The 26,149-nt window shown below is 42.4% G+C and overlaps 2 protein-coding genes across 3 annotated transcripts in view; one reads left to right on the top strand and one right to left on the bottom strand.

Annotated features, from left to right (window-relative positions):
• Positions 1-26,149, top strand: part of ZFAT (zinc finger and AT-hook domain containing) — a 354,552-nt gene that overhangs the window by 55,100 nt on the left and 273,303 nt on the right. Inside the window, exon 3 of the mRNA XM_047422062.1 lies at positions 14,588-14,803. The gene's annotated coding sequence lies outside the window, so the exon portion shown is untranslated. The remainder of the gene's footprint in view (positions 1-14,587; positions 14,804-26,149) is intronic.
• LOC124902071 (uncharacterized) lies at positions 11,242-20,732 on the bottom strand. 2 transcript variants are annotated; one of them, XM_047422540.1, is made up of 3 exons: positions 20,593-20,732; positions 20,352-20,503; positions 11,242-12,476 (listed from the first exon to the last, which is right to left on the bottom strand). In XM_047422540.1, the coding sequence occupies exons 1-3, from the start codon at positions 20,712-20,714 to the stop codon at positions 12,211-12,213; spliced, it is 540 nt and encodes a 179-aa protein (XP_047278496.1). In that variant the 5' UTR covers positions 20,715-20,732; the 3' UTR covers positions 11,242-12,210. The 2 variants fall into 2 exon arrangements, with proteins under 2 accessions (XP_047278496.1, XP_047278497.1); XM_047422541.1 differs by having other exon boundaries at positions 12,007-12,476; positions 20,670-20,732.

Here is a 26,149-nt window from a genome sequence, read left to right as displayed (position 1 = left end):
TCAGTGTCCAGATTGATGTTAGTTTATAAAAGATTATAATTTTCATTTCAGTAGCAATTTAAGAGTTCACAAAAAATTTGCAAAATCTTCTTTCATCCTCATTTTACAAAGGAGAAACTAAAAATCAAGATAAGTTTCTGATTTACCCAAGGTTACAGAACTAATTATTAGCAAAGGGCTTTTCCCCTCCCAGAATTTCTGATTTCACATACTCTTTCTACCGCATCCTTAAATGAGAATATGTGGGGTTTCTCTGTAAGGATGGAAGAGAATTTCACTCTCCAGAGTTCTGTTTGTTTCTTCTCATATCTTGAGAAAAGTTTATCTTTCTAAGGCATGAAATGTATTAAGTACACAAAAGCCTCTCCATATCCCACTGTAATTATCTGAACGTGCAGATACCACTCTGCATCTTGGAAGATTGCACAAATGGGTGTGGGAAAACACATGCAAATAGTTAAGCACCGTTATTCATTCCAAATGATATGAAGGTGGTCCTCAGCGCAGTAGAGAAAGAAGGCTTAGAAATCTTCCCACTAAAAGGAAGCTTCTAGCACAATTTTCTTCCTGTGGCTTCGTACGTAACTGCTACAAAAGCCCATCAGCTATGCAGGCCTAGCTGTTTTCCAGATGTCAGAGCAGGAGGGGGGAACTGTAGAAGTTTTGTTGTCTCATCTCGTTTTACTTTAAAAAATAACAACAACAACAACAACAAAAAACGAAGCCTCGGCAACATGGTGAGACCCTGTCTCTACAAAAAAATAAAATAACTAGCCGGATGTGGTGGTGCGTGCCTGTGGTCCCAGCTACTGGGGAGCTGAGGTGGGAGAATCGCTTGAGCCTGGGCGGTCAAGGCAGCAGTGAGCCATGACTGTGCTGCAGCACTGCAGCCTGGGTGACAGAGCAAGACCCTGTCTCAAAGAAGGAAAAGCTTAGGGTGGAGGGGTGACTTTGAAAATGAGCAAGTAAAATAATAGAATAGGAAGAACATTGGCCTTGGATCACAGAAGCTGGAATTAGAGCAGTCTACTTCTTTAAGCCTCATTTTCCCTGTCTACAAAATGAGTATTATAATACCACACAGTGTTCATCATGTGAATCAGATAATATGTGGACAGAGGATCTTCTGTTTCTATTTAAGAGGACTTACAGGTTGGAAATTGAAAGAGCTGAAAACAGCATTTACCATAATGCTTTATTCAAGTGGTATAGCTTTGGCTATCATAAAGATGAAGATGGCAGTAACAAGATGAGTGTAAAATCCAGTATTTCCTTTCTTCCAGGCTATGGATCCTTTCACTTCCTTTTGTTTCCCTGAATATTGAACATGCATACTTTGATGTACAGTTTTTATGTCTTTATTCTATAGAGAACAGTTCTTTATCAAATAATTTCAACTATTATGGGGTCTGGGAGGAAATAATAGTGGGGTTTTCTCTCCCTGGTGGTGGAAGTCTCAATAATTTGGACCAATCTTCCTACATAAGACAACCAAAAAACCTGGACCAAATACAAAAATTTTTAAAGCAAAAAATAAAATAGTGAGAAATTACCAACTGAGATCTGAGAAAAGGTGCAAACTAAGAATGATGAACCCAGTACTTGCAACCACTTTTGTCTTGGGAGTATTTGCCAAGCTAAAGAGAAACACGAAAGATCAGAGCTGCATATTCATGGCTCTCGGGACAAGGTACAAAAGTCGAAAGTTCAGGGCTTACGAAGGTGGGTACTCTCCTTGTTAATTCCCCCATTTTTGCCTGGGACCCAAAAGGTAGAAACATGAAGGAACCAGAAATAAACCAGCCATCAATCTGTTTAACCAGGCTTTATGTCATATGAGTGGCCAAGACAGAAAATCTTGAAACTTGTTAGCACTCTCAGGTGTCTAGCAGAAGCAAACAAAAATCCTTATGCTTCAAATTATTTCTACAAATAAATTTTCAATTGTAATATACAGCACACAATCAGAGATAATCAGGCCCTAAGGGGACAAGACAGTATAAGAGAATATAACAAAAATAGATCCACGGGGACTTCATATATTGGTATTATCAAACACTGAAAACAAGTGGACTGTGTTTTTTTTGTTTTTCTGTTGTTTTTGTTTGTTTGTTTTTGTTTTGAGATGGAGTCTCTCTCTGTCACCCAGGCTGGAGTGCGGTGGCACGATCTCAGCTCACTGCAAACTCTGCTTCCTGGGTTCAAGCGATTCTCCTGTCTCAGCCTCCCGAGTAGCTGGGACTACAGGCATACGCCACCACGGCTGGCTAATTATTGTATTTTTTAGTAGAGATGGGGTTTCACCATCTTGGTCAGGCTGGTCTTGAACTTCTGACCTCAAATGATCCACCCGCCTTGGCTTCCCAAAGTGCTGGGATTACAGGCATGAGCCACCATGCCTGGCTGACTGTGTTCTAAAGAAAGTTCATTGGAAGGGTTTAGCAGCAGATTAGATACAGAGTTGGCGAATGAGAAGATAGGCTAGGAAGAAATTATAGGCATTCTTTGGAAATATTGTGGGTTCTGTTCTAGACCACTGTAATAAAGTAAATATTACAATAAAGAAGGTCAAGTTTTTTGATTTCCCAGTGCATATAAAAGTTAAATTTACAATATACTGTAGTCTGTTAGGTGTGCAGTAACATTATACCTAAAAAGTGTACATATCTTAATTTAAAAAGTATTGCTAAAAATGCTAACAACCATCTGAGCCTTCAGAAGTCATAATCATTTTCCTGGTGTGGTGTCTTGCCTTGATGTTGATGGCTGTTGATTGATCATTGTGGTGGTTGCTGAATGTTATGGTTGCTGTGGCAATGTCAAAAGAAGACAGCAGCGAAGTTTGCTGCATTAATTGATGCTTTCACAAAAGATATCTGTAGCTTAGGATGCCACTCGATACCATTTTACCTACAATAGAAATTCTTTCAAAACTGGAGTTAAGCCCAGGCGTAGTGTCTCACGCCTGTAATCCCAGCATTTTGGGAGGCCGATGCAGGTGGATCACCTGAAGTCAGGAGTTCGAGACCAGCCTTACCAACATGGTGAAACCCCGTCTCTACTAAAAATACAAAAAATTAGCCGAGCGTGGTGGTGTGTGCCTAAAATCCCAGCTACTCAGGAGGCTGAGGCAGGAGAATAGCTTCAACCCGGGAAGCAGAGGTTGCAGTGAGCTGAGATCGTGCCGCTGCACTCCAGCCTGGGCCACAAGAGTGAAATGCCGTCTCAAAAAAAAAAAAAAAAAAAAAAAAAAAATTAATCCTCAAGCTCTACTGCTACTTTATTAACCAAGTTGATGTAATATTATAAATCTTTTGCTGTCATTTCAACAATGTTCATACCATGTTCCCAGGAGTAGTTTCCAACTCGGGAAATCACTTTCTTTGTTTATCCATAAAAAGCAACTCCTCATCTGTTCAAGTTTTATCATGACATTGCAGCAATTCAGTCACATCTTCAGGCTCCACTTCTAGTTCTCTTGCTCTTCCCACCACATCTGCAGTTAATTCCTCCACTGAAGGCTTGAACCTTTCAAAGTCATCCATAAGGTTTGGAACTCACATCTTCCACATTCCTGTTAATGTTTTGACCGCCTCCCATGAATTATGAATGTGCTTAATGGCATCTAGAATGGTCACTCCTTTCCAGAAAGTTTTCAACTTACTTTCCCCAGACCCATCAGAGGATCACTATTTATGGCAGCTATAGACTTACAAAATATATTTCCTAAATAGTAAGACTTGAAAGTCTAACTTATTCCTTGATCCATGGGCTGCACAGTGGATGTGTGTTAGCAAGCATGAAAACACTCATCTTGTACATCACCATCAGAGCTCCTCAACAACTAGGTGCATTGTCAACAAGCAGCAGTGGTTTGAAAAGAATCTTTCGTCTGAGCAGTAGGTCTCAACACTGGGCTTAAAATATTTAATAAACCAGGCTGTAAACAAATGTGTTGTCATCAAGGTTTCATTGTTCCATTTATAGAGCATAGACAGAGTAGATTTAGCCCTAGGATTTTCAGAGTGGTAAATGAGCATTGGCTTTAACTTAAAGTCACCAGCTGCATTAGTCCCTAATGAGAGACTCAGACTGTCCCTTGAAGCTTTTTTCTTTTTCTTTTTCTATTTTTTTTTTTTTTTTTTTGAATTGGGATTTTGCTCTGTTACCCAGGCTGGAATGCTGTGGTACAATCATAGCTCACTGCAGCCTCAAACTCCTGGGCTCAAGCAATCCTCCCACACCTCGGCCCTCCCAGTAGCTGGGACTACAGGTGTATGCTGCTATGCCAGGCTAGTTTTTTTTGTTGTTGTTGTTTTGTTCTTTTTGTTTGTTTGTTTTTAATTTTTAGTAGAGGTGAGGTCTCACACAGGCTGGTCTTGAACTCCTGACCTCAAGTGATCCTCCCATCTCAGTCTCCCAAAACACTGAGATTACAGGTGTGGGCCACCACATCCACCCCTTTGAAGCTTTGAAGCCAGGCATTGACTTCTCTCTCATTATTAAAGTTCCAGATAGCATCCTGTTCCAAGAGAAGGCTGTTTTGTTGTTTAATGTAGCCACCTTTTCATCAGTGATCTTAGCTAGACTTTCTGGATCACTTGCTGCAGCTTCTTAATCAGCACTTGCTATTTCATCTTGCACTTTTATGGTATGGGGATGGCTTCTTTTTTTAAGCCCTCATTAACAAACCTCTGCTAGCTTCCAACTTTACTTCTGCAGCTTTCTCATCCTCTGCCTTTATAGAATTGAAAATAATTAGGGCCTTGCTCTGGATTAGACTTTGGCTTAAGCGGATATTGTGGTTGGTTTGATCTTCTACCCAGACCACTAAAATTTTCTCCATGTCAACAAAAGGTTGTTTCCCTTTCTTATTTGTGTGTTCACTGGAGTAGCACTTTGAATTTCCTTCGTGAACTTTTCCTTTGCATTCACAAGTTGGCTAACCAGAATGAGAGGCCTAGCCTTAGGCCTGTCTTAGCTTTCAATATGTCTTTCTCGTTGAGCTTAATCATTTATAGCTTTTAGCTTTAAGTGAGAGACATGTGACTCTTCCATTCATTTGAACCCTTAGAGGCCATTGTAGTTATTAATTGGCTTAATTTCAATATTGTTGTGTCTCATATAATAGGGAGTGATATGGTTTGCCTGTGTCCCTACCCAAATCTCATCTTGAATTCCCACGTGTTGTGGGAGGGACCTGATGGGAGGTAATTGAATCATGGCAGGTTCTCCCCATGCTATTCTCTTGGTAATGAATAAGCCTCATGAGGTCTGATGGGTTTAAAAAGGGGAGTTTCACTGAACAAACTCTCTCTTTGCCTGCCTCCATCCACATAAGATGTGACTTGCTCCTCCTTGCCTTCTGCCATGATTGTGAGGCCTCCCCAGCCATGTGGAACTGTAAATCCATTAAACCTCTTTCTTTTGTAAATTGGCCAGTCTCTGGTATGTCTTTATCAACAGTGTTAAAACAAACTTAATACAGTAAATTGGTACAGTAGAGTGGGGAGCTGCTGTAGATACCTGAAAATGTGGAAGCAACTTTGGAACTGGGTAATAGGCAGGGATTGGAACAGTTTGGAGGGCTCAGAAGACAGGAAAATGTGGGAAAGTTTGGAACTTCTTAGAGACTTGTTGAATGGCTTTGCCCAAAATGCTGATGGTGATATGGACAATAAAATTCAGGCTGAGGTGGTCTCAGATAGAAATGAAGAACTTGTTGGGAATTGGAGCAGAAATGACTCTTGTTATGTTTTAGCAAAGACACTGGCAGCATTTTGCCCCTGCCCTAGAGATCTGTGGAACTTTGAACTTGAGAGAGATGATTTAGGGTATCTGATAGAAGAAATTTCTAAGTGGCAAAGCATTCAAGAGGTGACTTGGGTGCTGTTAAAGGCATTCAGTATCAGGGAATCTGCCCTGATATTCACATAGGTTCTTTTCTGTTTTCTTTAAGCATCAGCCAGATTGAGAAATAAAGGGACAGAGTACAAAAGAGAGAAATTTTAAAGCTGGGCATCCGGGGGAGACATCACATGTCGGTAGGTTCCGTGATGCCTCACAAGCCACAAAAACTAGCATGTTTTTATTAGAGATTTTCAAAAGGGGAGGGAGTGTGCGAATAGGTGTGGGTGACAGACATCAAGTACTTAACAGGGTATTAGAATATCACAAGGCAAGTGGAGGGAGGGCGAGATCACAGGACCACAGGACTGAGGCAAAATTAAAATTGCTAATGAAGTTTCGGGCACCATTGTCATTGATAACACATCTTATCAGGAGACAGGGTTTTGAGATCAATCGGTCTGACCAAAATTTATTCGGTGGGAATTTCCTCTTCCTAATAAGCCTGGGAGTGCTATGGGAGACTGAAGTCTATTTCATCACTGCAGCCTCGACCATAAGAGACAGCTACGCCCAGGGGGCCCAGTTTAGAGACCTACCCGCAGGTGCACATTCTCTTTCTCAGGGATGTTCCACGCTGAGAAAAAGAATTCAGTGATACTTCTGCCATTTGCTTTTGAAAGAAGAGAAATATGGCTCTGTTCCACCTGGCTCACCGGCGGTCAGAGTTTAAGGTTATCTCTCTTGTTTCCTAAACATTGCTGTTATCTTGTTCTTTTTTCAAGGTGCCCAGATTTCATATTGTTTAAACACACATGTTCTACAATTTGGGCAGTTAATACAATTATCACATGGTCCTGAGGCAACGTACATCCTCCTTGGCTGACAGGATTAAGAGATTAAAGTAAAGACAGGCATAGGAAATCACAAAGGTATTGATTAAGGAAGTGATAAGTGTCCATGAAACATTCACAACTTATGTTTAGAGACTGCAGTAAAGACAGGCATAAGAAATTATAAAAGTATTAATTTAAGGAACTAATAAATGTCCATAAAATCTTCACAATCCACGTTCTTCTGCCATGGCTTCAGCCGGTCCCTCCATTTAAGGTCCCTGACTTCCCGCAACAATTCAGTTTTATGAGGGAAGTAGAATATAAAAGTTTGGAAAATTTGCAGCCTGACAATGCGATAGAAAAAGAAAATCCCATTTTCTGAGGAGAAATTCAAGCTGTCTGCAGAAATTTGCATAGGTAAGGAGGAGCTGAATGTTAATCCCCAAGACAATGGGGAAAATGTCTCCAGGGCATGTCAGAGACCTTTGTGGCAGCTCCTCCCATCACAGGCCTGAAGGCCTAGGAAGAAAAAGTGGTTTCGTGGGCCAGACCCAGGGTACCTGTCCTGTGTGCCACCCAGGGGCTTGGTGCCCTGTGTCCCAGCTGCTCCAACCGTGGCTGAAAGGGGTCAACATAGAGCTCAGGCTGTGGCTTCAGAGGGTGCAAGCCCCAAGGTTTGGCAGCTTCCACATGGCGTTGAGCCTGTGAGTGCACAGAAGTCAAGAATTGAAGTTTGGGAACCTCTGCCTAGATTTCAGAATATGTATGGAAATGCCTGGATGCCTAGGCAGAAGTTTGATGGGTGGGGGATGGGGGGAGGCGTGGCTCATGGAGAACTTCTGCTAGGGCAGTGCAGAAGAGAAGTGTGGGGTCAGAGCCCCCACACAGAGTCCCTACTGGGGCACCACTTAGTGAAGCTGTGAGAAGAGGGCCACCATCCTCCAGACCCTAGAATGGTAGATCCACCAACAGCTTGCACCATGCACCTGGAAAAGCTGCAGACACTCAACACCATCCAATGAAAGTAGCTGGGAGGGAAGCTGTACCCTGCAAAGCCACAGGGGTGGAGCTGCCCAAGACCATGGAAACCCACCTCTTGCATCAGTGAGACCTGCATGTGAAACATAGAGTCAAAGGAGATAATTTTGGAACTTTAAGATTTGACTGCCCCACTGGATTTCAGACTTGCATGGGGCCTGTAGCCCTTCTGTTTTGGCCAATTTCCCCCACTTGGAATGGGTATATTTACCCAATGGCTATACCCCCATTGAATCTAGGAAGTAACTAACTTGATTTTCATTTTACAGGCTCATAGGTGAAAGGGACTTGCCTTATCTTGGATGAGACTTTGGACTGTGGCCTTTTTTGGGGGGTGGAGGTGCTTGAGACAGAGTCTTGCTCTGTTGCCCAGGCTGGAGTGCAGTGGCATGATTTCAGCTCACTGCAACCTCCACCTCCTGGGTTCAAGCGATTCTCCTGCCTCAGCCTCCTAAGTAGCTGGGTCTACATTGCACACCCCACCACACCTGGCTAATTTTTGTATTTTTGTAGAGATGGGGTTTCATCATGTCAGCCAGGCTGATCTTGAACTCCTGGCCTCAAGCAATCTGCCCACCTCAGCCTCCCAAAGTGCTGGGATTACAGGCCTGAGCCACTATGCCCGACCTTTGGACTGTGGACTTTTGAGTTAATGCTGGAGTAAATTAAGACTTTGGGAGACTGTTGGGAAGGGATGATTGGTTTTGAAAAGTGACAACATGAGATTTGGGAAGGGCCAAGGCAGAATAATATGGTTTGACTGTGTCCCCACCCAAATCTCATCTTGAATTCCCACATGTTGTGGAAGGAACCTGGTGGGAGGTAATTAAATCATGGAGGCAGGTCTTTCCTGTGCTATTTTCATAATAGTGAATATGTCTCATGAGGCCTGATGGTTTTAAAAAGGGAGTTTCCCTGCACAAGCTCTCTCTTTCCCTGCTGCCACTCATGTAAGATATGACTTGCCCCTCTTTGCCTTCCACCATGATTGCGAGGCTTCCCCAGCTATGTGGAACTGTAAGTCCATTAAACCTCTTTCTTTTGTAAATTGGCTAGTCTTAGATATGTTTTTATCAGCAGCATGAAAATGGACTAATACAGAGAGGCCTGAGAAGAGGGCAAGAGGTTGGGGAACAACTGGTCAGGGGAGCAGTCAGAACACACACGACATTTATTAATTACGTAAATTGTCTTATAAGAGTCTGTTTTGCGATGCCTCAAAACAACTGTAGTAACATCAAAGATCATTGATCACAAGTTACCATCACAGATTTAATAGTAATTAAAAAATGAAAATGATGTGAGAATTTTCAAAATGCAACACAGAGGCATGAAGCGAGCACGTGCTGTTGGAAAAAATGGAGCTTACAGACTTGTTCAACAGAGGGTTGCCACAAACCTTCAATTTGTAAAAACAAAAAACAGTATCTCCAAAGTGCAGTTGAACAAGGTATGCCTATATACAGAATGAAGAATGAAAAGACAAAAAGATGTGGGATAGAGAATAAACAGAAGAGAGAGTAAGATCTTAAATAATACAGTGGAGAAGATCTGTTATATGTTTAACTGGAGTCCCAGAGGAAGGAGAGAAGAATAAGATGGGGTCAATTTTGTAGAAGATGATGCCTAAGAGTTTTCCAGAACAGATGAAAGGCATTACTCCACAGATTCAAAGACCATAGAAATGTCAAGCAAGATAAACGGAAATTTACAACATAGTAAAAATTGTAGATAACTAAAGACAATGAGAACATTTTAAAGGCACAAAATAGAGAGTGCTTACCTTTAAAAAAAAGTGAGAAATACACTTCTTAACAGTAAAATCGAAGCCAAAACATAATTTTTGTAGAGACAGCATCTCATTATGTTGCCCAGGTTGGTTTCAAATTCTTGGGCTCAAGCAGTCCTCCCACCTCAGCCTCCCAAAGTGTTGATATTACAGGTGTGAGCCACTGAGCCTGGCCAGTTATGTGCTACTTAATAGGTACACCTAAAGCCTGTGTACTAGGTTGAAAGTAAAATGATGGAATTAAGTTATACCATGGTATTATCATGTAAAATAGTTTAAGGCAAATGGCATTACTAAGAATAAAGAAGCTCACTTTGTAATGATTAAAAAGTCCAGATCACCAGCAAAGTATACTGATTCTAGATTTGCATCTGCAAAAAAAGACTCCAAAACCCATGAAGCAAAAATTGACACATCTACAAGGCGAAATATGTAAATCCACAGTCATGATGAGAAATTTTAACATTTTATATGCATATAAAGCTGAACACATGACTAACAATCTAGTGGATGTGTATAGAACCCAACAATTGCAGAATATATATTCTTTTCAAGCACACATTGAATATTTATAAAAACTGATCATATACTGTGCCGTAAGTTTCATCTCAGCAAATTTCAAAGTTTTGATGCCATGAATGAAATGAAACCTGACATTTCAAAATTATAAACAGAATATGCCCTGGAGTAACTTGTGGTATTGTTTGGGGATGAGGAGAGCCATCCGAATAGTGTTTTAAGGAAAGTCTCTATTCATTGATCTGGGGTAACAAGGCAGGAACCATTCCAATGCAGAAGCTTTGGCTAAGCAGTTGAGCGTTCAGTAGTGCATGTAAATTCCTGTGTGAAGGCTGTGGTGTCATGGCTAAAGGCATAGCCTCTGGAACCAGACTGTTTGGGTTCAAATCTCAGTTCTGCTGCTTAACTCACTGTGTGATGGTGGGCAAGTTGCCTAACCTCTGTGTTTCAGTTCCTTCATCTGTAAAGTGGTAGTATTCTACCTCAAAGCATTGTTGGTACATTATATGGTTATAATTTATAAATGTATGGTGGCAAGTTCTATAAAAGTAGTTGTACAGCACCACACATGTCTGCTTGCTTTTGTGGAACCCAGTGTGTAGAGTACAGTAGATGAATGTATCCACTTAGGATATATATGTAAATAATAAATTGAAAAGTGAAATGCCCTGGCATTGCTGGGATTGGAAAGGCAGACAGGTTTGGAAGCAGACACGCATCAAACAAGATGGGCATGACAGATGATTGACCATGAGTTAATGATGGTTGAACCTCGACAATAGGTACAGGGAGATTTGTTGTACTGTTTTCTCTACTTTTGTAAACACTTGAAATTTTCCTTATTAAAAATACTTTTTAAAAAAATGTTGGCCTACAAAATCCAATTAGGAGCTCATGTCAGTTCACCTTTGCATCTGACCATTTAGTCGTCCAGGAGGTTGTTTGCCTCATATTCACATTTTAGAGAGCATTTGATTCATGAAATATTTTCATTCAGTCATGTTAGAAAGGATTTTTCCCAACTCTTTTGGTCTCAAGTTGCATTCATCATTTTCAATGTTTATTGATGACTGAATGAATGAGAGAGAAAGTAGATAATTGACAATGAGAAGAAAATGTGACTAAATTTCAAGTCAAATGTAGGAAATAGTGTAACTTCTATACAAACACAAAGGTTTGTGACTCAGGTAGAGACAGGGTCAAGGCCTCCAGTGTGCAATAGCATTATTTATTAACAAATCTTTTAAAGTTAAACAGTAGCTAAAATATCTTAGCTGTCATGTTTAATGATTAGTTTATGTAACCTCACAGCACTAACCTGGAAGCTGAACTCATTTATTTTTCTTACGCACTGTAAGCAACAGCACCTGTGGTTCAGGACTGGGATCTCACATGAGGAGTTAATGAAGCTCAATCAGTAAGCAGATGTTTCTAAAAACTGTGCCGTTTCTTGATTTCACACTGTACTCAGGTGCAGGCAGCCATAGACTTTTTTTTTTTTAAACAAAAACATAAGTGCAATGTTGGTGGTAAAGTATTGGGAATTTTATAGTCTAAACGTTATAACTCACTTCCAATTTTCATCAAAGTAAAGTACAAGGTCTGAGACAGGCTTGGGTCTGAATCCAATTTGCACCAGTCACAAGTTGTGTGGTTCTTGGCAAGTTTCATACGCTGTCTGAGCCACATTTTTCTCATTTGTAAAGGGGAGTAATACTAGTCTCCAGTGAACTGGTAAATGTTTAACAATTAGCTGTCAGGGTTAGCCAAAATAGGGTTTGCTAATTTCCATAGTGTAATTATTCCCACCATGGCCTCTTTCAAGCTACCAACAGGACATCCCTGAACACAGAACCAGCAGAGAATGGCAGCAGCAGCACACCATGAGGTGGGATGTCCACCAGGGAGATACAGTAGGCCTCAGTGACCCCAGAAGCCAAGATGATGGTTCAGTCTAGTGAAAGCACTAGGAAGCAGTGTGTTTTAAGTATTTATTACTTTTAAAAATATATGTTATTTAGTGGTAAGTTTATATAATTTGATTTTAAATAATAACGGGGTATAAAAACTAGCTCACCAAATTCCTGAAAATTTAACAGTTGGCCCATTTGAGCTGTATACATCCTACCTAGTTCAAGCACATTGCTTTCCATCTCCAGCTCCTGGATTTCCTAAATAACACTACAATGAACATTTATCCATGATGCATACCCAAATCACAGGCTGTGCGACTGGAATGTGACTGAGTATACTGCCATGTTCTTCTCCAGAATGGCCAGGCCAGCTTGCCTTCCTACTAGCAGTGCCTGCGGGTTCCCGTGCTTCCCTGATGAGGTGCATAGATATATAATAAAGTGTAGATGGACACAGCAGATGGGTGCTGCCATACCACACTTGAAGCAACAGTGAGGCCTCCAACTTGGAAAGTCCACTGATAAGCATAGTGCCTGGTGATAAAAAGTAAAAGCAGAATTAGATGTATAGTACAATACTGTACATTTAAATGCATACAAAACAATAGACTTATTCAAGAATATTCAAATTAAAAGATGCACATCAGATGGATTTGAATGGTGGCTCATGGAGGGAAGTGATTTATTATATCAGTGAGCCACATTCAAGCTTGTATTCCTATTGTCTCTAATAAATCTGTGAAAGTTTACACGTTTATCTAATTTATTTTCCAGGAAAACCACATGGAACCTATATTTACTGTATTTGCATAGTTAAGCAATATTTCCAGTATAGGAGCTACATACAGCAATCATTAAACTTAAAACCATTCAAGCCAATTTATCTGTTTATTGGTAGGATTTATTATAACACTTGCAGAACTACAAGCAATTTAACTTCTGTCTTATGTATATTATCCCACTTAACCTTCAAAACAAAGATTTGAAGCCTAGAGGAGCTACATGTTTTACCCAGGATGAGAGAACTAGCAAGGACAAGGGCAGCAGCTACTTAGCAAATACAGAAATTACCTGGCAAGAAAAAGAAAGATTGACCTGGACTTTGCTGGGTAAATGTGAGACCAGTGGGGTCTTCATCTTCATTATTTTCTCAGCCATTCTTTGCCCCAAGGCAGACAACAAATATTATAACAATGATTATCTTGTAAGTGTGAATTATTTTATATTTATTTAAATAATGGAGCTGGCAAGGGCCTTGGGGATTTTAGAAAACCCCTTGCTGTTACATACATGATCAGTATAACAAGGCTTAGAAAATGCAGGTTTTCTAATTTGTCCAAGGTTACACGGAAAATTTTCTAAATATCCAGGAAAGGAAACCTGATTTTCTAACTCTTGGGCCAAGTGTGGTTTAATAGAATCAGACAGACTTTTTAGATTCTGGAAAGACAGGACCATCATCTAACTATAGAGCTTAGACAAGCTGCTGGACATTCCCAAGCCACTGTTTTCTGTCACCCAATAGGAATAATACCTGACTCGGATAGTTGCGGCAAAGACCATTCATTCGTGTATTTATGCATTTATTGAACAAATCTTTAGGGAGGCAACTTCTATGGGCCAGGCACTGTTCTAGGCACGAGGATATAATAATGAGTATATAAAAATTCCTGTACTTGAGGAGCCTACATTCTAGCAAACTTATATTCAAATGGCTGAATAAATAAATGTGTAAATCAATCAATGAATGAGTGCTATAAAAAATAAGGCACGGTAAGGAAGTAGAGATGAAGAAGGCTGAATTTTTAGTTAGGGAGGTCAAGTGTATGTCTTTAAGAAGGTAAGATTTGAGCTGAGACCTAAAAGAAATGAGGGAGCAACCATTCTAAAGTCTGGAGGAAGAAAGATTATGAGAGGAAACAAGAAAAAAGCTCGAAGGTAGTAATAAACTTGTCTTGTTCCAAGAAGAACATTGTAGGGGAACCGAGTGAAAGGGATTAAGTGTAACAGGAGGTGAATTCAGTGAGATAAGCAGATTATGTTAAGGCCTTATAGTTGATGGTAAATAGAAAACCATTAGGAATTTTGAAAGAGAATTGACATCGTTATATCTGATATACATTTTTTATTTGTTTACTTTATGATGATATTATTTTTATTTCTATCACAAGCCCCTTCACATTTCTTCTTTCTAATGCAGAAGACTTTTCAGTCTGATTTACATTTTTTAAAGATTACTCTGATGAGATTGTAGGGACCAAAGGTGCTAATAGGGAGACTGGTTAAGAGACTGTTGTGGTAGTCCATATAAAGAGATGGGGTGGCTTAGACAGGGGAGGAAGTGCTGAGCAGCAGTTGCATTCAGGATCTATGTTGACCTGAGCAATGGGTAATTCATTATCTATTTATCCACTTGGCTAAATGATGCTGCCATTTACCAGAGGAGGACTGGGAAAAAGCAGGTTTTTCAAGGGTAGAGAGGTATGGGTAGGGGAGCAAGTATTCTGTTTTAGACATGTTAGGTTCAAAAAGGTTATTAGACATCCAAGAATAAAGATGCCAGGTAAGCAATTGGATATATTTCTAAGTTGCATGGAAAAGGATGAATCTGAAGATATAAATTTGAACATAATCCATGTTTACAGGTTGTAAGTGAAGATACAGATGGCAAGACACACAAAGACCAAATCCCAAAGCACTTCAACATTTAGAAGTCAGAAAAAGAAAGAGAAACTAGCAAACAATACTGAGAAGAGGCCAATGAAATCAGGAAAATCAGGAGATGATGGTGTCTGAAAGCCAAACAAGGAAAGGCTACCAAAAAGGATGAAGAGATCAACAGTGTCAAATTCTCCTGAAAGGTAGGCTAAGGTGAGATTTGACCATTGGCAACCTTGACAAGAGTAGTTTCAGCTGGAGGTTGGGAAAGAAAGATGGCTTAGAGTGTGCTGAATGAATGACACTGTGGATACAAACAATTCTGTCACAGAGATTTTGTTTTAAAGAGGTGCAAAGAAATGAGTGACAATTAAGAGGGGTTTGTAGAGACCAGGAATGATGTGGTAGATTGGATATTGTTCCTAGTTATTTACTGCCCCTCTGATTTGGGTCCTTGCTGTACATGAGAGAGGGTGGAGCATATGTCTCAACCTACTTGATGTTGGACTTAGCTCATGACTTACTTTGGCCAATGGAGTGTTGTAAGATGGGCCACAAACAAAGGCCTTAAACGTATTTGAGAAGTTTGGCTTGGCCTCTTGTGGTCCTGTGGAAAGCACACATTTGCACACACACACACACACACACACACACACATACAGAGAGAAAGAGAGAGAGAACTGAATAGCTGCTGGTCCAGAAAAAATGTGAAGACATGAGGAGGGGATCTGGCCCTAATATGAACCTTGAATCAAGTTTAGCCAACCTGCGACCTGAAGTGGAGCTCCCCAAAAGATCATGGGCTGATAAATGAGAAAAATAAGTGCATATTGTTGTGACTTATTGTTGAAAAATAAGTGGTTATTGTTGTGACTTATTGTTGAAAAATAAGTGCTTATTGTTGTGATTAATTAATTTATTTTATTTTACTTTTTTTTTTTGAAACGGAGTCTCGCTTTGTCGCCAGGCTGGAGTGCAGTGGCACGATCTCGGCTCACTGCAACCTACACCTCCCAGGTTCAAGCGATTCTCCTGCCTCAGCCTCCCAAGTAGCTGGGACTACAGGCATTTGCCACCATGCCTAGTTAATTTTTGTATTTTTAGTAGAGACGGGGTTTCACCATGTTGGCCAGGATGATCTCGATCTCTTGATCTCGTGATTTGCCGGCTTCAGCATCCCAAAGTGCTGGAATTACAGGTGTGAGCCACCATGCCTGGCCTGTTGTGATTTATTGCACAGAAAATCCAGATTGGGCTAAGCTCCCCTACTATGTGTTTCCATAGCCCTCATTCTTCCACTGTCATAACTCTAGATGCATGTATCACAAATGCTTGCTCTGTCTTCCCTCCCATCATACCCTCAGTCCTTTGAAGGTCTTGGTTGTGCCTGTATCATTCATAGTTGTATCCTCAGTGCCTCATGCAGTGCTCAGCCCACAGTAGGGGCTCAATAGATATTTGTGGAGTGGAAAGGATAAAGTACAATGATTTGAGCTTGAGAAACACCAATCAGCAGGGCTTTCTGTACATACCAGGCTCTTTGTCTCACTATGGAGAGTTGTGTGCATTGTTGACATCTGCTATAGGCAGTTTGTCTCCTCTAAGATAAAAGACCAGGAAAGACTATAACATGTGATCCCTTCCGGTGTCTGCTCATCCATACTATCAAAATCCTAACCATCCTTTAAGACCAAGCTCAATTCCCAGCTTACTTAGGAAAGAAGCCTCTCCTGGATCCCAGATCCAGCTGGAATTTTTCCCCTTAGTATTTACAGCAGTTAGCACCTGTCTTGTAACTTTGAGCAGATGTTTATTTAAAATTCTCGTATGTTCTCATTGTAATCCCATCCCCCTCCTTCCTTCACCAATTAGACTGCTTTTTGAAAAGTATCCCTGGAACCTAGCCCAATGCTGCACACATAAAACATCTCAATAAATGTTTGTTAATGAATAGTTACTGAATAAATCAATGAATGGATACTTTCATTCACACCTTTATTCCTCCCAGCATTTAGTACTGCTTTGCACATTGTGGGTACTTGAGAAATCTGCACACTCACACCCCCACTCACCCGCCACTCCTGCAACTTCTCCAATATATGGGAGAGGACTGACAATTTTATCTAGTCTTCTGGGTGATTCCTGAGTGATTCTCCAACAGAGAACAGATAGAAATGAGGTAAGTGTGGTCCTCTCTCATTCTAATCCCTTGTAATCTGGGCCTGCCAATAGAATTGTTGTGTTTACCAAATCAATGGTCTGGTTCTGACTTTCTTCCCTATGGATGTTCTTTAGCATTTTGCATTGCTTATAATCCATGGGAAGATGTTTGTTTGTTTGTTTTTTGTTTGTTTTTTTTTTTTTTTCTTTTTGAGACGGAGTCTCCCTCTGTTGCCCAGGCTGGAGTGCAGTGGCATGATCTCGGTTCACTGCAAGCTCCGCCTCCTGGGTTCATGCCATTCTTCTGCCTCAGCCTCCCGGGTAGCTGGGACTGCAGGTGCCCGTCACTGCGCCCAGCTAATTTTTTGTATTTTTAGTAGAGACGGGGTTTCACCGTGGTCTCAATCTCCTGACCTTGTGATCCGCCCGCCTTGGCCTCCCAAAGTGCTGGGATTACAGGCATGAGCCACCGCACCCGGCCTCTGTTTGTTTTTTTTTTTTTTTTTTTTGAGACGGAGTCCTGCTCTGTTGCCCAGTCTGGAGTGCAGTGGCATGATCTTGGCTCACTGCAACCTCCATCTCCCAGGTTCAAGCAATTCTCCTACCTCAGTCTCCCGAGTAGCTGGAATTACAGGTGCCTGCCATCACATCCAGCTAATTTTTGTATTTTTAGTAGAAGTTTCACCATGTTGGCCAGGCTAGTCTCAAACCCCTGACCTCAGGTGATCTACTTGCCTCAGCCGCCCAAATTTCAGGGATTATAGGCATAAGCCATCGCGCCCAGCTGGGAAGTTATTTTAAAAATTCAATTCTAAGTATGAATTCAGTTGTAGAGTTTCCTGAAACTCTTCAGTTTGTTTCTTGATTTTTTTTTTCCTAAATGAATAATTATGTTCTTTGCCTATGGTCATATACTAAACCACAACTCTCTTTCAATACCACCATCCTCCCTCCACCAAAGGTTTGATTTGCTATAAACTATCAATATTGAATTGGCAATTTACTACTGTTCAGAATTTTGATGTCCCAGATAATAGGAATCTTGGGGTTCCAGGCCTTTCAGTGGTGGAAGAAGAGGTAACCTGGGATTTACATCAAGGTAGCTGCCTATTCATGGGGGTCCCAAATCTACCTGGCTCAGTAGGAAGAATGTTGGCCCAGAATGAGGCCTGACCCTTCTCTCACTTAATGATTTCTGAGTCCCTCTTGCTGGATCTGCAAAATGAAAATTCGACTTACCTCCCAGGTCCGTTGTGAGGGTCAAATAAGAACCTGTGTAAGTTTTCATAAACTTTATAGTGCTATACAAATATATAGCATTGGTAAAGCCATCTCCTCTATTGATGAGTCCTGCCTCGTGTCTGAATTCTAGCATTCAAAATTTATACCTTTCCCTAAAGAAAGACTTTCATGAGTTTTGATAGACAATGCTGTTTGTCACTCCAATAGTCAGTCCCTTCTCCCTTGCTAACATGACTGCTTTTATTTGGGGCAGTGATGGGCTGTGGATCATGGATCCTGGATCCATCATGATTCATGGCACATCATTGCCCCAAAGGTGGAGCACCACATCACTGGTTCCCTGAGGTGGAGCACCCACCTTGAGGTGGACCACCACATCATGCTTTTATTTGGGGCAGTGATGTGCCACGGATCAGGATGGATCATGATCAGTATCAGTCAAAGGAATCCTTGATGGAACATTTGCTCTCCCAGCACTCCCATGCAACAAAGGGTGGTCTTGTAACCCAACCCTGGCCAATGAGATATAAGAACACATTCGCTGATAAGTTGCCAGAGACAAGTTGTCTCCTAGTAGGAGGAAAACCAGCTTTTCCATTCCATGTCTTTCTTTTCTTTCTGTCTTGAACATGGTTATATGTAGACACAATGGCCAGGGCCATGAAAAGCCATTTTGCAAACATGAGGCAACAAGCCTAGGGACAACAAGCTTAGGCAATAAGCCTCCTCTACCTTCCCCAAAACAGAACCAAAGATTGGAGCCAGTAAAGCAAGATGCTTAGTGCTGACTCTTAAACTAAGCACAGAGAGGTTAAGTAATTTGCCCAACATCACACAGCTAGTAGGAGGTAAAGTGGAGAGTTGAACCCAAGTGTTTTATTCCCAAATGACTGTTTTGTTTTGTTTTGTTTTTTTCCACTGTATCTTTTTTCTTACCTGTAGTCCTGGTCTCTTCCTGCACTCACCCTGGGTGATCATACCCAGGATCATGCTTTCTAGCAAAGAACTCCAAATCTACATTCCTAGCCCCAGGCTAATAAGAGCCAATCCCCCTCACATTTCTGCTGGATGGTCTCAGGCTGTCTTACTAGTACATCAAGCTCCTATGTCTAAAACTGAACTCATTTATCCTTGCAACTTCAATACTTTTTCCTTCTCTTGATTTAGTTCATTTGAGTTCGTGGAATCTCAAGTCTGCTAGTCATCACATGGTGTTGAGGACAGAATATAGGTTTTGAAATCAGAAGATTTGACTTCAGATTGATCAGCAGTCAGTTGCAGAATCATTGAAAGGGTTGAAGAAATCGATCTCTGTTGAGCTTGCAGGCACAATAACCAAAGCCACAATGCCGATCTGAATTGCCAAGAGAGCTGTTCCCCTCTCTGGTCCCCTCGGGACCATGACTGTACTAGGGAGAGAAACCAGCATCACCAGGAGGCAGCCACTGCCACTGGCAGCTCCAGCCCCAGGACATATCTGCTACAATTCACCCCAGCAAAACAGGATGGGATGTCTGCCACTTATCCTGAGTCTGTTTTTATCTCTTTCCATCAAATCATTGGTACCCTGCAAAAGCCCTCAATTCCATTGTCTTTTTAGGTACCATTCTTCTCTAGTGCCGGAAGTATACCAGGAGACAGGAGCATGTCCCCTGTCACCAGTGTCCCATCCCAATTCACTGCCAGTGACAGCGGGACATTGCCAATACCCCACCCACCACAAGTGGTGGAATCTTCCATGCCAGCTGGCCAGCAAGTAGTTCATCCCTAAAATCCCATTTTAGAGTGTGCTTCCTAGGATCACTTCTCTTACCAACTGCCTTAGACAGGAATCCCTGCAAACAGACTCTTAGCTGGAGAGTGGAATGCAGAAGGTTTACTTAAGTGCTTCAGGAAATATGCCTCTAAAGAAGGAAGGAAGGGCTGGGTGCGGTGGCTCACGGCTGTAATCCCAGCACTCTGAGAGGCTGAGGTGGGTGGATCTCCTGAGGTCAGGAGTTTGAGACCAGCCTGGCCAACATGGTGAAAACCCACCTCTACTAAAAATACAAAAATTAGCCAGGTGTGGTGGCAGGTGCCTGTAGTCCCAGCTACTTGGGAGGCTGAGGCAGGAGAAGTGCTTGAACCCGGGAGGCAGAGGTTGCAGTGAGCCCAGATTGTGCCACTGCACTCCAGCCTGGGCGACAGGAGTGAGACTTTGTCTCAAAAAAAAAAAAAAAAAAAAAAAAGGAAAGAAGGTGGGAATGGGCAGAGGGAGAAGCTGACTTGTGATTTGGTTGTAATTGAGGCCGTACTCAACCCAAAGCCTCCACTCACAGCATTCCTATCTGCCATAGAGGCTTTACATACCTTCACATCTGCTGGATTCTGTGGCCACAGTGGAAGAGCAGCTTGCACAGCAACTGCGCTTGTGGAGCTGCCTCTCACTCCAGGCGTCCCAAACCTGGCAGCTTTCCGGATCCTGCAGGGAGCTCTGGAGCAGGGTTGGCCCTTCACTTGTCCTAAATTGAAGCAAGAAGGTCAGTCACTGGCCGTGAGCTGCCCCTTAGGAGGAAGCAGAACTGTAGGTGGGGCAGCCCCTGCCACTGACCACAGTTCCCAGAGAGGGGTGCAGCTGTGAAAATCGGCAGGCAGTGTGCCCAGCATCTGGAGGACAGGGCACCGGACCTGAAGAGGGATTGGAGGTGGAGCACCACAGCATCCACTGCACATGAGCGTTTCACTCTAAATGAAGGAAACAGCACCGTGCTGGAGAACGGGGAGGGCAGTGAGTTTGGCCCTGGGACCTGTGTTTGTGTCCCAGTTCCCAGACTTACTCACTCCGTGACTGTGTTCAAGTAATGTCCCGTTCCTGAACGTTTCATTCCTCATCTCAGTCATGGTCACGATCACAAGAACACCTTGCCCTGCCTCTGCACGTGGCTAAAGTCAAACCAAATGAGAATCTGGAGGTGAGGGCCCATGGTAAAATATTGTATAAGTGTGAGGAGTTCTGATTAATGGGGTCTGATTTCAAAGAAATGTGCAGGGGGGATGTTGAGGTCTAGAGCAGAGCTCACTGAGGCTTATGCCAGAGTCTTAGCTGGCAGAGTTTTACAAGGAGGCAGAGAAAGCTGCTTATCTCTGTGCTTCCAGGAAAAGAGGACTGGTAGGGAAAGAGCCCTACAGGAAGGAGGAAACTTGGTGATGAAAGAAGAAGTGAAGAAAAAAGAGATGGAATCCCAGTAAGGAAGACAGAGAAGAAAGTGAAGTCAACATTTGTTGAACAATTACCATGTGCCAGGTGCTAGGCTTGGCACTTGTACCTGCATTCTCTCTGCATAAGGGAGGTGATTCTCAGAAACTTTCGGTTGCAAGTGAAAGGAAATCCAACTATCTTTTATCTTTTTTTTTTCTTTTTCTTTTTTTTTTTTTTTTTTTGAGATGGAGTCTTGCTTTTGCTCTGTCGCCCAGGCTGGAGTGCAGTGGCGTGATCTCGGCTAACTGCAACCTCTGCCTCCCGGGTTCAAGTGATTCTCCTGCCTCAGCCTCCCAAGTAGCTAGGATTACAGGCATGTGCCACCACACCCAGACAATTTTTGTATTTTTTGTAGAGACATGGTTTCACCATGTTGGACAGGCTGGTCTTGAACTCCTGACCTCAGGTGATCTGCTTGCCTCAGCCTCCCACAGTGCGGGGATTACAGGCATGAGCCACCGCACCAGGCAGGAAATCCAACTATCTTAAGCCAAAAAGAACTCAGTAAAATCCCAGAATTCACCACTATGTAATTCATCCATGTAACCAAAAACCACTTACACCCTAAAAGCTTTTTTTTTTTTTTTTTTGAGACAGAGTCTCACTGTCGCCAGGCTGGAGTGCAGAGACACGATCTTGGCTCACTGCAACCTCCACCTCCCAGGTTCAAGCATTTCTCCTGCCTCAGCCTCCCAAGTAGCTGGGACTATAGGCACATGCCGCCACGCCCGGCATTTTTTTTTTTTTTTTTGTATTTTAGTAGAGACGGGGTTTCACCATGTTGCCCAGGCTGGTCTTGAACTCCTGAGCTCAGGCAATCCGCCTGCCTCGGCCTCCCAAAGTGTTAGGATTACAGGCGTGAGCCACCACGCCCAGCCCCCAAAAGCTATTGAAATAAAAAATGAAAGCAAAAATCCCTCACACTTGCTTAGGTAAAACAAACACCAACAGAAAAAAAGGAATATATTGGCTCAACAACCAAAAAGGTAAGGCTGGCTTCAGGAATAACTTGGTTCTGCGATTTTTGCCCTATCTCCGAGACCCGCTTTCTCCATCTCCCATCTCTTGGCTCTGTTCTTTGACTGCGTGTGTTGGCCAAGATGGAGGTCATGGCAGCTGAAGCCATTGGCGAAGAGGACTTGCTGCATCCTTTGTCATTGCCGAGATCTCACCCCTCAGCACCTCTCATTGGGTCCCACATCCTTCCTGACCCAGCACCCAAGTCCCTGAGAATATGATGTGCTCTTGGGCTCAGGGCCTATTCAGAGCCCATGGGCTAAGGGTTGGTGACAGGTGGCTCTTCTGGGTGTTTTGAAGAAGGGTGAGGTGGGTGGACAGCCACAGAGGACCACAGCAGAGGCCTCCTACTATTTTACAGGTGAGAAAATTGACGGCAGGCAAGACTGAGTGACTTGTTTGAGACACACGTTGTCTTAATATCTGTTTGAGGGAATGCTTGATTAAGACATAGCTGGGAAGGGGCAGTCCTGGAGTTGGACATGCAGTCTGTGTGACCGGCAGCCCATGTTTATATTCCCATGCTGTATACTGACTGGACGACCTTGGCCTAATCACCTACCCCTTTTGACCTTGGTCCCCTTATCCAGCTCTGAAATTTGACAACTCTCCTTTGAGGAAACTTATTACTAGATGAGCTATAAATCCAGTAATGTCATAACTGTTGCCAAATATCTGCTTCTCTTTCTCCTCAGTATTTGTTCTAAGTGAGGGTAAACATAGTTCTGCTCGGGCATCATCTGATGGTTTAGGTTCCCTTTGGTTTATTTATTCACAAGGACTCTGTTTCTCATCCTGCCTGTAGGCGATAATGGATGCTTTGGCCTGGAGCGTGTAGTTCATTTAGCAGTTTAAATCCTCTTCCTTTTTCACCCTGCTTCCCCAGTCACCATTGTTCTGGGCTTCATTATAAAACAAATACTTCTTTCCACTATATTGACCCCAAATATTTCATCAATTCACTTGTGTTACTGAAAGCCAAGTGTTGATTCAGGCTGGGACAAACAAAGGCTACTTTGTGAGGCTGTGCTGCAGACAGGCCAGCCAGATTACCTTGTGCGGGACTGGTTGTTTTTTCATTTTCAAAAAGGCAGTGTCTTTTTAAGCATAATATCTTAGTGGCACATAATTACGCCACCGTAACAAATAGTCTGTTGTCATTTTAATCTATATTTACTTCTAGTGTTGTCTGTTTTTTCACTGTATTTATATAGTTGCAGTGTTATATAGCTATAATTTAATATTTTGTTTATTTTACTTCATAGATTTTTCCATTCTGTGAACCTGGACTTCACTGTTCTCATTTTTACTTTATACTCAACAAGCATTTATTGGTTCATTCAGAAACTCTTTAGCTAATAACTACTTAACTATTCCACTATGAGTTACTTCCAGTTTTTATCATCATAAATAATGTAATAAATATCTTTGGACACATACCTCTCCTGATCTTTTGGATTATTTTCTTAGGATAAATTCCCAAAAGTAAGATCATTAGGGGGAGAATTTAAATACCTCTTAAAGCTAACAGCCAGTCATGTGCGAGTGTGTCAGTGAACCTGTTTCCTCATGATCCTAGTCATTCATAAGTTATAATTCACCTTTTTTTGGTAAATACAGGACCCCTCCATGAATTGGCTTTTGCCTGTCTCTCCCTCCTAATTTCCCAACAATCCTCAACTTTCTCTTCTATTCCTACCACCCTCCCTCTGCCCCCCCAAAATAGATAGGTTTGTTGTTGTTGTTGTTGGTTGGTTCGTTGGTTTTGTGTTGTTTTTTTTAGAGACAGGGACTCACTCTGTAGCCCAGGTTGGAGTGCAGTGGTGCGATCACACCTCATTGTAACCTCGAACATCTGGACTCAGGCGATCCTCCCACCTCAGCCTCCTGAAAAAATAGGTAGTTTTTTACACAGAGAATACCTTGTTTTGAACATGAACTTCCTGATACCATAGGTGCTCTACTGGAGCAGGACACTGGATACCAAAAGTCACTATCAACCATAATCCCTTTGCTCAGTGTTATGGGCTGAATTATATCTTCCCCCACCCCCAAATTCATCTGTTAAAGCCCTAACCTCCTGTGTGATGGTATTTGGAGATGGGGCCTTGTGGAGGTACTTGGGCTTAGATGAAGTCCTGAGGGCGGGGCCCTTATAATCGGATTATAAGAAGAAACACCGGAAGACATGCATGCTGGCTCACATGCATGCCCTCCCTCTCTGCTATGTGAGCGTGCTGCATAAAGATGGCTGTGCACAAGCTTGGAAGTGAGTTCTCACCAGACATCAAACCTGCCAGTACCTTGATCTTGGACTTTCCAGCATCCAGAACTGTGGGAAATAAATGTCTTTTGTTCAGGCCACCCAGTCTGTGGGATTTTGTTTTAGCAGCCCAAGCTGACTTAACACACTCAGGATCCATCAGTCTTAACATTTGAGATGTTATTAGGTAATTAGTTATCTAAATAGATCATTTAGAATTTGTTTCCACATTTCTTATTTGCTTTTCATGACAGCCTTGTAAATATCCCCATTTTATAGAACAATAACAGTCAATAGAGACATCTGAAGAACTCTAAGTTGTTCAAGATGGCTCAAGGGCGGGGGTGCCATGTGAGGTAAGTCACTGGACAGAAGAGAGGACTGCAGAGGCTGGCACATGTAGGGCCTTTTGTGGCAGGTTCAGAAGTTTGACTTTTGGCCACAGAGGCTGGTGTTTGAATGGTTTTAGGAAAGGAGTAACATAGATTAAGATGTTAGAGAGAGCTCAGACAGCAGTGTGGGGTGGGCAAGGCAGAAAGCAGGGGTCCCAGCTAGGAGATCTGCAAAGGTGAGCAGTGATGAAGGCCTGAAAGAATGCAAAGCACTAGGAATGAAGGAGGACAAAGTTAACGGAGATCTTAGAGTTGATCTAGCCTAACCCCCTCATTTGGTAGAGGAAGAAATTGAGGAGTGAAGAGAAAAAAAGAAATGTGTCCAGGGCACTCCAGCTAGTTCAAGAATTCAACAAACATGTACTAAGTCTACCATGAGCCAGGTGGATTCCCTGGTGTGCAAGGGACATGTTCTCATTTCATAGTGTATCGAGGGAAATGGTCTTCTGTAGCACTGGGCTTTGAATGAATCAGCTTCCTCTGGAAAGAGTTGGGTTAGGCTAATGTGACCAAACTCATGCTACTTCTCTCTCTCTTATATTTTCCAGGTCTGAGCTTCAAACCATGTCCAGGCCTCCTTTTCTAGGGATTTTAAGTTTTTCAGGCAGCCCAGTCTATCTCAATCCCCAACTGCCTTCACATTCCCCCACCTGGTGCTACTTGATCTGTCTTTGCAGGTACAGCCCTACTTCCAGCTCCTAAAATCAATCCTCATGTGAGATAAAAGATTTAAGTAGTTCCAATTACATCTCTCTGGGTCACTTTTACTATTTTTCAGATTCTGATGTAGTGTTCTCTTCTAATAGCTCACATTTTACTGTGGTTCCAGTGTTGGTCACAAGTTCATGCTGCTGTCCCAGTTTTGGACTGGGTCTCTGCCTTGTTCCTGTCAATTCTCTTCCTCCTGCCCCAACCCACGTATCCCGACTGGTGTCCTGATCCAGCACTTTTAAGGGTTCTGAACCTGCTGAGGACCTTCGTCCTTGATGTTATCTGTCCATTAGGATTCCCCAGCACTTGGTCTTGGAGCCCCCTGACCCCAGTGAAAAGTGCTTCCAGGATGGCAACCTGTTTTCAGACCACTTGAATCCCAACTCAACTACAGCCTCCTTTCAGCACTTAGAGTGGGAGAGAAGTTTCAAAACCCTGCTTGTCATTTTGAGTAGGTATATTTCAGGTCCCATCCACCCATGTTCTGCTCTTTCCTGCTGCAGTTAATTGTTTAAGTCTGGAACCT

Source organism: Homo sapiens, chromosome 8, assembly GCF_000001405.40.
Source record: "Homo sapiens chromosome 8, GRCh38.p14 Primary Assembly".
Lineage (NCBI taxonomy): Eukaryota > Metazoa > Chordata > Mammalia > Primates > Hominidae > Homo > Homo sapiens.
The sequence above is the reverse complement of the archived record's forward strand: the minus strand, read 5'-3'. Positions and strand labels throughout refer to the sequence as shown.

What these genes read in the sequence shown, in the direction of transcription:
- LOC124902071 (XM_047422540.1), bottom strand. Translation starts at nt 20,714, where the DNA reads ATGTGCAGTGGATGCTGTGGTGCTCCACCTCCAATCCCTCTTCAGGTC. An exon ending in ACCCCTCTCTGGGAACTGTG is followed by an intron (nt 20,504 to 20,592) that starts GTCAGTGGCAGG and finishes GCTTCAATTTAG; the next exon opens with GACAAGTGAAGGGCCAACCC. An exon ending in AGAATCCAGCAGATGTGAAG is followed by an intron (nt 12,477 to 20,351) that starts GTATGTAAAGCC and finishes TTTTATCACCAG; the next exon opens with GCACTATGCTTATCAGTGGA.